Genomic DNA, 13211 nt, shown 5'->3' on the forward strand with positions numbered 1-13211 from the left:
CACAATGAAAGTACTGGGTCCTCAATCAATGCCTAAGTCATCAACACATATGCACAGGGGCAGTGCACGTTCACTGGTGGTGTTATTTTGTTCATTGAAATACTGAGTATGTACATGAGCTAGGATCAGAAAAATGCTAAACTTTTTCTTCTGCCTTTCACAGTAAGCTTGTTCACTTCCAGGTGTGTTTGCAGTATGTAGGTATAAAAAAGATATGCCAGGAGACAGGACAGTAATATTCATGCTTTGATTATGATGAAGGTGAACCCCAAAATTGGGGCTTACCCCAGAGGGGTTCTTGACTTTGCTCAGAAAAAAAATTTAAGAACGAGCAGACAGTGAAAGAAAACAAGTTTATTAGAACAACAGTGTACAGCAAAATAGCTGCTCCATAGACAGAGCAGGGCTTTCCCACAGGCAGAGTGGCACAGAGTAACACTTGTGGATTGCTGGCTAGCTATATTTATACCTATTCTTAATTATTTGCTAAGTAAGTGGTGGGTTATTCATGAACTTCCTGGAAAAGAGGTGAGGCATTCCTGGAACCATAAAAGTAACTTCCAGATTGTTGCCATGGCAACATTTGTAAACTGTCATGGCGCTGATGGTAGTATCTTAGAGCGTGCAAATGAAAACAAACAGTGAGAGTAATTAGAGGACACTTTTGTTGCCATTTTGGTTCTAGCTTGTTTTGGCCAGTTTCTTCGCTGCATCCTATTTTGATCAGCCAGGTTGTAACTGGTCTGAAAAGCAAGTCCTGTTAATCTCCTATCTCAATTAGACACCAAAGTCTGTTTATATCCTTGCTAAGGAAGCAACTGTATTCTTTGCAGATAGAAATAGGCTGCACAAGACAGTTGAATCATTGTTAGTAACTTTGGGCCTGGATATTGATCTGGTTTTTGGGTTTGGTGTAAATGTTACATTTATATTTTATTCCATTCTTCTTCCCTCTCACAGTATGTCCATCTCCCTCATTTATTCATTTATTTATTCCATAATTTTTTTTTTTTTTTTTGTGATGGAGTCTTGCTCTGTCGCCCAGGCTGGAGTACAGTGGCGTGATCCCAGCTCACTGCAAGCTCCGCCTCCCGGGTTCAGGCCGTTCTCCTGCCTCAGCCTCCCGAGTAGCTGAGACTACAGGTGCCTGCCACCATGCCCGGCTAATTTTTTTGTATTTTTTTAGTAGAGACGGGGTTTCTCCGTGTTAGCCAAGATGGTCTCTATCTCCTGACCTCGTGATCCACCTGCCTTGACCTCCCAAAGTGCTGGGATTACAGGCATGAGCCACCGTGCCCGGCCTATTCCATAAATTTTTACTGACAAATTATTTCAGAAGAGACACTGGATATTGAGAATACCATAATAAATAAGAAGTTGAGTTTTCACCTTTATGAATCTTATAGCCTAATGTGTCACACAAATATAAAATACTTAAATAGACAACTACAGTTCTGAGCTATAGTGATGTTATAGAATAATTAGGTGGATCACTTGGAGTGGGGAGAAAGATACATAATATTTTCTCATAGGTGATGGTTTCTGAGATATGACTTGAAAGACAAGTTAGCCAGTTGAGGAAAGATGAAGGATGCTCTAGGAAAAGAGAATTGCATGTGTAAAAGATTGGAGGGAAGTGAAAAGTTGTAGCTATAAAACAAATTGGCTATAACTGAACTATCACATGTAAGGTGAGGAGTAGATTTTTAAGACTGGTTAAAAGGCCTGCATTACATCCTGAGGACAATGGAAAACTTGTGAAAGATTTCAGGAAAGATTTTAGAGCTTCTTTTATATCCTATTAATTCTAAAATTGGCCAAGACCTCATAAAAATCAAACACTCGGTGGTTTCACCTTCATCCTTGGAAACTCGAAAGTACTGATAAAGTTAATTAGAAGAATAAGCTCTTTTCTCTTCCATTCTATAAAGGGGGCATCTACTTATTTATACACTTCCAAGTTAAAACTGAAAAGTGGAAACATAACATAATGTGAATTTCTCTTAGAGTTGTACTAGTATCTGTGTTACTTAATATGTAGAGTATAATTTAAGAATAAAACACTTGCTAAAATGTGTCAAATCTGGCCTTCTGATTCTCTTAAATCAGATACTTATCCCTGTACCCTGGATCATTGCAATAGCCTTCCAGCAGCTTCTCCCTATGTCCACATCTACTAAGCATTCTCCATCCCATGTCGTGGCCCCTGACTGATTTATTTGCCTCTATGCTGGTTTTCTTCATTACCCTGTGGACAATAGGAAGCCAATTAAATCCATTTTCTCCACCTTTTGCATTAGATAAGAGGCTTATATATTCACTATTTAATATAAATTATTTTCAGACTTAAGAACAGCTAACATTGAGCTGCTGGAGTTAATTTAATCCCTGAAATTACCAAGAAGGATGACCCAGTTGTATTTGTTCTTCAAGTTCCAGCTCTGAGAGCTGAAGTCCACCTTTCTTCGAAAGTCTTTAATGCTTGCCAAGATTTCCCTCCTACTTCTTTTCTGCTTCTCATGTACCAAATATCTAAGAAGAAAACATCCAGAATAAGATTCTTTATGACTCAAGGTGTTGTCAGATAGAAAATACCCCCCTGGCAGGGGACACCAAAACACCTAGGTGGAAATGAAAGTCAAGCCTCTTTCTTTGTTCTCAGAGCCTATGAATTGAGGCTCTGGTCATATATATTTCCGAACCTTGAGAAAGTCTCCGATTCATCACTGCCCCAGTTCTCAAATGGAGAATTTTGCAAGATGCTCTTAATTGCTATGGTAGTTGCCAGCATTTCAATTTCTCACTTTTATAAAATTGCATGTAACTTTAGGATTATAAAAATTTAAAGCTTATTTTTAAATTTAGAAAATAGAAGCTATCCAGCTATTTTTTTTTCTTTTTAACTTGGCTAGCAGAAAGTTAATATTACATTGTGAGGCTCCATTGCACTTTTACATCTTTAAATGAAAGTTGAAATGTAATTAAATGGAAACTGAGAGACATAAAAAGTGAAGATAATTTGAGTTTATATGCTTACTTTCCATAACTAGTTAAAAATAAGAAATCATTTAATTGGCATTTATGTTAAAGAGGGGCTTAGTTAATTTCTGGCTCCCCCTGTCTCTAAATGTGGCAAATATTTCACGTTTATTTTGGTCTTCTCATCTGCTAAAAACAGTAGCTTTTGATTTATAAGGTTTCTGTTTTCTCAACTTGTGGCTTGTCAGCCTGGTCATTTGATAATTTAATAAATTGGCAAATTGGCAAGGCCAATGTATCTTACCCTATTTCATTTATTTATCTTATGACCATACTGGTGGCCTATTTAATGAGTTTTTTTCTGGGTGATATAAGGACAATTTTATTATTTTTTCTCTTTTATTTTTTCTTTAGAATAATTGACATTGAATGCTGACCAACACAGTACAGCCAAAGACAGCAAAAGGATCCTTGTGACTTTCTGAGAGAGAAGCAACTAAATTCTAATACCTTCTAATTTGAGACTCAGATTTATTGAAACCTGTTAAAGTTTCTACTAGCAACAGACAAAACAAGATACCCAGAAAATAAAATTTCAGTTGAGATAGACAGAAATGGGATCATTTGACTTAAGTAGAAGATCACTACCACTTATCTAACTTTTCTCACAATTGGCATTGATAATATTCTTTAGTAGCTGTCATTGGGTTATGTAGATAATCTATTAATCAGATATCAGTAATAAACATTTCACAGTAAAGTGGCCAGTTTCTCAGTTAAGTGATGGCTTTTTTCAGCCTCATGGTAATGTGCTTCGGTTCCGACTTCAGAACTAGAATAGAGCCAGCTTGGCTGACTACTTGAATAAGACTGATAGTGTTGATAAACTTAGTGAAAATGACTTATTTTATAATACAGATTAAGAAAACAACATTTTATATTCTCATGTGCCCCAATGACTCTTATTGAGAGATATTGAGTTTATGGACATTTTCTAAAACTATCTATGCCAACGGCACCCAATTTGTTTGCTAAGATCCAGCAGGAAGCTGATTGGAAGTGATTGGTGAGTGTAAATGCACAAAAACATTATCTGTAGAGTAAATGAATAAAAACTTGTGATATCTATCTACCTACTTACGTACCTGGCATATCTATATGCACACACGTGTGTATTTGTGTTCACATGTAGATTATTTTCTGGTCATTCTGTAGTTCCTTAAACTTTTTAGATCCTACAACTGCAATGACTCTCCTACAGAAGAACCATGACATTCTGTGTAAAAGCGATCTTTTTTTTTTTTTTCTTGTCTTCAACTTGTATTTTAAGTTCCAGAGTACATGTGCAGGAGGTACAGTTTTATTACACAGGTAAACATGTGCCATGGTGGTTTGCTGCACAAATCAACCCATCACCCAGGTATTAAGCCCAGTATCCATTAGCTATTTTTTCTGATATGGTCCCTCCCTCCACCCTCCAAGAGGCCTCAGTGTGTGTTGTTCCCCCACATGTGTCCATGTGTTCTCATCATTCAGTTCCCACTTATAAGGGAGAACGTGCAGTGTTGGGTTTTCTGTTTCTGTATTAGTTTGCTGAGGATAAACCTTCCATCTCCATTCATGTCACTGCAAAGAACATGATCTCATTCTTTTTTATAGCTGCGTAGTATTCCATGGTGTGTATGTACCACATTTTCTTTATCCAGTCTATCATTGATGGTCATTTGGGTTGATTCCATGTATTTGCTATTGTAAATAGTGCTGCAATGAACATACGTGTGCATGTAACTTTATATAGAATGACATATTCCTTTGCATGTATACCCAGTAATGAGATTGCTGGGTCAATTGGTATTTCTTTTTCTAGATCTTTGAGGAATCAGCACACTGTCTTCCACAATGGCTGAACTCACTTACACGCCCACCAACAGTGTAAAAGTGTTCCTTTTTCTCTGCAATCTCACCAGCATCTGTTGTTTCTTGACTGTAAAAGTGGTCTTTATTCAAAAAGATTTAGGAATTAATGCTGTAGGCTACAGAGTAAGTTTTTGCTTCTGTGGATTATAAACTCAGTTAAAAAATTGGTTTGAAAGCTAATTATACAAGCTTGAGGAGTTACATCCTTTCTATTTTCTTATAAAATTCTCAGTTGCTATAATTAATCTGGAAAGTTTTGTGTGTAAGAGAAAGTGATTAAAGAGAGAAGGAATGAAACTTTGAGCAATCTATTACTTGACTGTCAGATCAATCTAATTAGAAGTTTATCTCAGCAGCTTATTAACCTGTGCTAGTTGTCAAATGTGGACATTTAGGCAATCAAACCATCCCTGGTTGCCTATTTCCCGTTTCTTATGTCTATTCTTTAGTTTCAGATGTGGCCTCCGTTTTCAACTCAGTATTTACTTTACCCTTTTCCTCAAGCTCCCTGTGATGATTTTGAAGTAAGGGAGTGTTCAGACTTGTGTTCAGTGTTAAGACAGAGCTTAAGTTGTCAATCTGTATAATTTGTTGTTCAGACTTGTGTTCATTGTAAGATAGAGCTTAAGTTATCAATCTGTATGATTTATTAAATAGCTGTATGACCTCACAAACTTTCTAAACATCATTTAACAAATCAGGTTAATCTAATAAACATTTACACAGTGTTTGCTCTCAAAACTAGAACTCTGGGAATTTGGTTCCAGGATCTGTGTCTTGAAGTTATCTTATATGTTTCATGGACATTGTATTACCTCACAGACATTCTGTGATCATCAAAAACATTTCTGTATCTCAAAGTGTTTTGAAGCTTTACGTTAGTATTAGCTATAAAGATGATATTACTATCGGTACAGTTCCTAATGATTTTTGTGATTTAATTATTTTTGTACTAATCACACAGAATTCTGCATTTCCTATTCAGTAGATACTAGTTATAAGACATCTCCATTTTTCATCAGACCTCTACAGTTTCCAGTTTCAGTTGCAATACACCTACACCTTACTTTCATCTATGGCCTATGTTTTAAAATTTGTTGTTCAAGAAAACAAATACAAAAAAACATGAAGGACTGAACTGATGCTATGGCTTCCTGCTTGCAGTGAATCAGATCTCTTGATCCATGTCATGATGAAAGTACTATTTGTTCCTTCTCTTTGATCTCTCTAAACTCCTATTAGTTTGGGTACCTTTGATTTGAGGACTCCTGATAATAATTATGTGTGTCATTTAGACTTCCTTGTGTCATTAACTTTCTTCTGCTAATTAGTAGAAAATTGATATTCAAAATGCTGAAATGTTTCCACAGAGCTGCTTTATATACTGAATGTCTCCCACTACTCTCTGACCCTTAGGAGAAAACGTAGCTCCTCAAATGATGCTATATAACCAAGAGGACATCACAGACTGGACAGTGGTTGGTAATTCAGTTTCTTTTATTACTAATCCTTGTACTCACTGTGCTTTACTTTTGAGGGATGCTGATTTTTATTTCAAACTTCTACATATAACAGTTGGCATTTAGTTTTGTGCAGAAACCAATTGGTTTTTCAAAATCATGACACTCATGTCGACATTTGCCTCTCATGATAAAGCAACTATAGGTGTCTTTCACGGCACATTTCACTGTTAAAAGGGGAAAAAGAAAGCACATAAACCATTGAGTCACTATAAGTGTCTTAAGGTCCCACCTTGGGATAAATCAGTTGTCAATGTGAAAATAAGTATAGCCCTTGCATTCTGGGGTAGGGATTTGGGAAGTCATTTGTTTTGTATTTTTCTGGTGATGATTGTTCTGTGATACTTTCTGTTTCATTCTCAGTTTCCTCTCCAACTTCTGGCTTGATCCACTAGTTGTTAAAGCTTAGTTTTCCCTGAGAATTTCTAAATAAAAATTGTTAGATTTCAAGTAGTTCTGGAATGAACACCACATATTTCTATGGCTACTTACCTACTACCCACCTAACATGATTTTTTTAAAAAAACAACTTTATTGAGGTATAGTTGCTATAAAAAGAACTGCACATATTTAATGTGTACAAATGATGAATTTGGGCATATACAAATATCTATGATCCCATCACCTCCCAAAGGCTTTTTTCTCCAATTTCAAAAAAAAAATTAAACATTTAAACATTTTTGGTTTCAGGATTTAAAATGGGAAGATTCATTAATGTTGCTTCAATTGCTATCTTGCTCGAATATTTTTTATAAATCTCTTTTATTAGAAGAGTGAAAAAAACCCTAGCAGATACTGGGATAAGAGAGGTTCTTTGAATATTCACAAAGATTTGAGCCTAGGCAGGAGCCTGGTTTGCTGGGGGGATGAGTGTTGTCATGAATGACAAGCCTTAAGTTCAAAGAGAAAGAGGTAGTATCTCTCAGCATCTCCGTATGTTTCCTTGTTTCAGAGTCTTCTCCTTTATAAAGTTCTCAGGATTGCATCATCATAGCATATACCAGCTGATGAACTCATCTACATCTGGCCATAAGACTTAATGTTTCATCTCTTCACAAAATGTTTAAATTTTTAGAAAGGTCACATAAGGAGGAAGACGCCCAAAGTTAAAGCATTAAATGTAATGGTAAATTATCAAATATCAGTGACAAAGGTATGTGAAAGGTGCTCTTTCTCTAGGTGCTCAACATATAGGATCCAACTGAGATGGAGTCAAAGGTACTGATAACCCAATTCATGTCATCTGCTTTCAGTGAAGTTATGTTAGCATACAGTCTTACTGTTACTTGGAGTAACTAGACATTTTAGGAAAAAATTGAACATATTATTTTGAATTTTTTGCCAAATATTTTAGGCAACGAGATATGCTTTTTCACTGTATAAATTAATGATAGATATCTCTTTATTTGTATTATCTAGAGAGATGCTATTTATTGCCTTTGATGCCAGAGGGAAAAAGCATTATCTTGCCAGCTTAAAAATGCATCCTCAGATTACACTGTCCTACATGATGGGTGTGAAGCATGTATGTTGACTTAATTGGAATTTACAAATAATAGAAGATGACAGCTGTCAAACACTAGTATTAAAAAAAGAATAGCATTATTTAAGTGGGAATTGTAAATTAGCATTTTTCCACTAGTAACAAAAACAACAAACAGCTTCTCTCTAGATAACAGCTATGTATAACATAAAAATTTATTTATGTACAAGAAGGAATCACAAATTTCTCAATTTTTAGATGAATCTATGCACATACATTCATAATGTCTCTTGGGTTTATAATGAAACTGAAAATGTCATGAAAATTTTCACCTTTTTTCCCAAAGCAAGTGACATGAGGCACACATGTAAATCATGATAACATAACTGGAGCTAATTTTATTATCCAAATGTGGTTGCACTAAATAAGTCTTCTTTATTTTAAGATCACCCCCATATGGTTTTAGTAAAAACAAACCCTGATTGTAATTCCATTAGTCTTGAGTTTAGAATGATGTAATAAAATAACAATCCTCAAAATTATCATCTGACATATTTTACTTGAATTATAAAACAATTAAAATGATTTGAGTCTTTTATCCAAAATACTTAGATGTTTGAGTTTACTCACAGCCAGACTTATTGTTAGAGCTAGACTTCCTTGGTCTCATCTGTGCTGCTAAGGAATGAAGTTGGACTTCAAAGAGGAAACTCTTGCAGTTCTAGACCACTCCTAAATCAGAATGCCCTATAGTTATTATTTTTTTGTTTGTTTTATTTTCTTAAGGTGAGTGGAATTATTTTCTTGGGTGTGTGTAAAATGATTGTTTACAGGGTCTTTACATAAATAAGAAAAATACTTTTCCTATCATAAGTACCCTGAAATGTGTTAAAACAGCTCTTTCGATGATCTCCATCAAGATACTTCCTTTGGCTATTGATCTAATCTAATAGTAGTGTGTACAATGAAAGTTTACAAATGAGGGTACACAGTTTAAGTATGTGAAATCCAACATGGTAAATATTACCTCCCCTGTTTCCTGCAATAGTTGTCAAGAAAGAGTTTCTCGATGAGATTTCTAGATGTTACTTGCTTTTTAAGGTGTTTTAATACAATGTAAAAGTAATTATAATACTATTTAAGATGAATCTGATGTGTATTATACTTTATGTTGGGCATTTTGTATATTTAAATATCATTAATCGTCATAATACTACAGATAGACTTAATTACTGTATTTAATTCGCAAATGAGGAAATTGATGCTGAATGAGTGTAAATAACCTGATAGATTTGCATAGCCAATACATGGCAAAAGCCAAATCTGAACCCAGGTATCAATTATTCCAAAGTTTATACTCATTTAATTATCTGGTTAGTATTAATTGCTATGTAATTGGACCTGAGGTAATACAGCCACTGAAGTTCTCAATTCTTAATCAGTTGAAAACACCATTTTGTGTTTTTCTCAAAGTAAACCTTGTGACATAATATAACCAAACCTATCATGAGGTTACTGAAAAACCAACTGTTACTCTACTACACAGTGCCCATCAATGTCTCAAGGATCCAGATGGTTATACTTTAATATTCTATCCAAGTAGTCAGTCTGGACAACCAGCCTGTAGTCATTTAATCAAGGCCTTTAAATTGTCTCATACAATAATATGACTCACCCGGAGCCTTACTGTTTAGTAAGACCACAGTCCTTTATTTGTGATTTACTCTTGGGACCGTAACCAACCACTCTCTTAACAATCTGGTCACTCTTGTGTCTCCAGTTGACATCGACCAAAATGCAACTCTCCAGAAAGATATTTTACCCTCTCAATATTTACATTTTACCTGGTGGCAATGGGGACCAGAAAGAAAAATAAAACAAAGAGAAAGACGTGAATCTTCATGATTGAAGACAGTCAGCCGAATTAGCAGCTCTGCAGTGTTTGAATAAGAGAAAGGTGGAGAGCACATCTTTTTATACTTCTCTCCATGCAGTTGTACGAATTTAGAAACTGGGGTTTATCAAAAGTTAACACTCCTGTTTAGCAGTGCCTGGGGCAAAAATGCAGGACATTACTTTTCTTTTATCTTGGGATATAAAGGGTTATGATATCCATAGTATATAATTATCTTTTTAATAACTGGTTGTCTAGGAAGTGCATGCCACTGAGAATCTCCTATTGAAGGTCTGAAAAGTAGAAGCATGAGAATTTAATCTTTGCTTTTGATTTAGTTTCTCTCTCTCTCTCTCTCTCTCTCTTTTTTTTTTTTTTTTTTTTTTTTTTGAGACGGAGTCTCGTTCTGTCACCCAGGCTGGAGTTCAGTGGCGCGATCGCGACTCACTGCAAGCTCTGCCTCCCGGGTTCACGCCATTCTCCTGCCTCAGCCTCCAGAGTAGGTGGTACTACAGGCACCCGCCACCAGGCCGGCTAATTTTTTGTATTTTTAGTAGAAACGGGGTTTCACCGTGTTAGCCAGGACAGTTTTTCTCTTTTTTAAATAGCTATACATAATGAATAAACTAGTGAATTTAAAAAGCAATATACTCACACCCGTAATTCCAGCACTTTGGGAGGCCGAGGCTGGCGGATAACTAGGTCAGGAGATTAAGACCGTCCCGGCTAACACGGTGAAACCCCGTCTCTACTAAAAAATAGAAAAAAATTATCCGGGCGTGGTGGCGGGCCCCTGTAGTCCCAGCTACTCCCAGAGGCTGAGGCAGGAGAATGGCGTGAACCCTGGAGGCGGAGCTTGCAGTGAGCTAAGATCGCGCCACTGCTCTCCAGCCTGGGCGTCAGGGTGAGACTCTGTCTCAAAAAAAAAAAAAAAAAAAAGCAGCAATATAAATTATTGTCTCCTAATTTGTGACTTTAGTTACAGATCCCCCTGATCTGTTGTTATTGCAAAAACCTCCCTCATCATTACTGAAATAAATAATTCTTTGTTGTCTCTTGCATGCAATGTAGATATTAGGGACACTGAGGTATAAGAGAATTTCACAATAAGCACACAAACACACATTCACACACATATACAGGCAGATAAAAATTCTGTGTTTGCAAAATGCCGAATGATGACACTCGCAATAAGTAGTAAGTCATTTTAATAAAAAAATGGATTATTTGGATGTTCTTTAAGGAGATTATTTTAGCTATAGTTATGAAAAAGAGTATGTTTAGCAAGAGATCCAAGTCATATTTTGTTACTTCCAGGTCTTAAAAAAGAATACCCAAGCAAAGCAAAGCAAAGCAAAATATGACTGGAAGTACTTAGGGGTAGTGATTACCATGGCCCACTAAAGAGAAGTTAAAATAAAATGCCCAATTCACAGACATTAAATGTTTCTGCTTTTAGATGGTAAGAAAAATGTTTTTTTAATTAAAGATTAAAAAATGTAATAAAGCTCATTATGTTTAATTGACAAACCAAGCAACTTGGAACATTGCAAATTATTCAATGGCTGTTTATGTAAGGAACTGTTGAATTCCTAGGACCAGTCTCAGGAACAGGTTTGCAAAAGTGGAATTCAGTCCTCAGAACTATTTATATACCTAAATGTGAAAACTATCACATGCAGAAAAATATATTTACACACATATATATATGCATGTTTATATAAAATATATTGAAAAATATATAGAGAAACATTTTATGATCTTCTCACAGGAAAGGTGTTTTTAAGCAAGAAAAATGCTTTAGAAACCATATAATAGATGATACAATTTAACTATGTACAAATGTATAATTTTTTATGATCCCCAAACAAGCAGAGTTTGAATAAAACATTTGCAACATATAAAAGCCAAGAGTAGACATAAAAATATACACAAAGATTGTGTAAAATTGTTTACAGATATGAATAATCCTAAAGAAAGTTAAACGATGGTTATAAAAATTAAATCACAGGAGAGAAAGTACAAAAATACAACAAACTTATCAAAAATATTTAACACTTTGGGAATGAGGATAATATAAATAAATTTCCCTATGAATTTTTTTTATAATTACATGTTGCCTTTTTTCAATTATAGAGCAATGATGAGTTGTAGGCCCATTGTGGGAAACAGGCAGCACAGCCTAGCTGTGAATAAACATTAAAAATCCACATATACTTTGATGCAGCAGTTTCACATATTCTCATTTTTTCTGCAGATAGTGTGCATACAACTGTACACAAAGATGTATATACACTGATTAGGGATCCTGGATCCTGCTCCACACCGTGTTTCCTGAACACCTCTGTATTTTGGAGTGCTTTTGTAGAATTTTTTCAAAGTTCTCTTCTGCTGCCTTGTACTTGTCTGGGCTAGGAGGGCTACTGAGTGAAGAATCCCAGTTTCTGACTGGACCTGAGTAGGTACTGATGTGGTTTCTTTCCTTTAGGCAATCTTCTGACCCTCTAGCCTTCCAAAGAATGCCTACTGTTAACCAGATGTCTCTGGAAGTTCTGAGATTCATGCTTAAAGGGACCCTAGACCAAGGCCCCTGGTTGGGCAAAAGGTATGGTGGGTAGATCACGCTTGCTGGTTGCCACAGAATTTCTTGTGCAAGATAATGAAAGATAAGGCTGCCAAAATGGTACTGACAATCTGATATTGGGCAACTTTTACCTAAATCTGACAGAGAAAGAGTTCAGAGCTTAGAGCTACTTATAGTTCACTGCTGGTCCTTGGACTTGAGCTGCATGTTTGGTTCCATGGAATGGGGACTTCTAGCACATCTGTATTTCCATAGCAGTGTCAACTCCAGCCTACAACACTCGAGAGAACCACATTCCTTCTCCACCTGCTGGTAGTTAGGCTCTATGAAGAACTGTCACATGCACTGGTTGGACTATAAACAAGAATGTAATATACCTTTTCTCCACTCATTCTATTCCATTCCCTACCTTCCTCCATTTGTCAGGTGGTCCTAAGGATGAGTAAGCTTATTTTCTGGGAATTTTCCAGATTCTTGCTTCTCATTTTGAAATGCTAATGGGACCTTTAGATTAGTCAGTGTCTTCTCTTGCCTCTAATGGATGTAGTGATTTTATACTCTCCCTGGTTGGTCTTAAGCTCTGCAAAAGAAGGGATGACAGTCTTTGAATGAGACTACTCTTCTTGCTCAAACTGCAGGCTCCTCTATTGCCCTCACGTCTTGTAGTAGTGCATAGATGGGAGAACAATAGTTGAACTAAAATAGATCACATTCTAGGAAGGTGGTGATTAATGCCTGAGAGTTCAATAAATGGTTGGAGGTGTTGTTCAATCTTTATGCTGTAAAATTCCTAGCCATAAGTTTGACATGAGCAGAAACAAATTATCATTCACA

At 35.9% G+C, this 13211-nt stretch overlaps 1 pseudogene across 1 annotated transcript; it reads right to left on the reverse strand.

The window, feature by feature from the left end:
* Window positions 1-6458: 6458 nt before the first annotated feature.
* DEFB133 (defensin beta 133 (pseudogene)) lies at window positions 6459-9802 on the reverse strand (annotated as a pseudogene). Its single transcript, NR_163261.1, has 2 exons — window positions 9744-9802; window positions 6459-6583 (listed from the first exon to the last, which is right to left on the reverse strand). The product of NR_163261.1 is annotated as a defensin beta 133 (pseudogene) (transcript).
* Between the last annotated feature and the right edge of the window lie 3409 nt (window positions 9803-13211).

Source organism: Homo sapiens, chromosome 6 (genome assembly GCF_000001405.40).
Source record: "Homo sapiens chromosome 6, GRCh38.p14 Primary Assembly".
Taxonomy (NCBI): domain Eukaryota; kingdom Metazoa; phylum Chordata; class Mammalia; order Primates; family Hominidae; genus Homo; species Homo sapiens.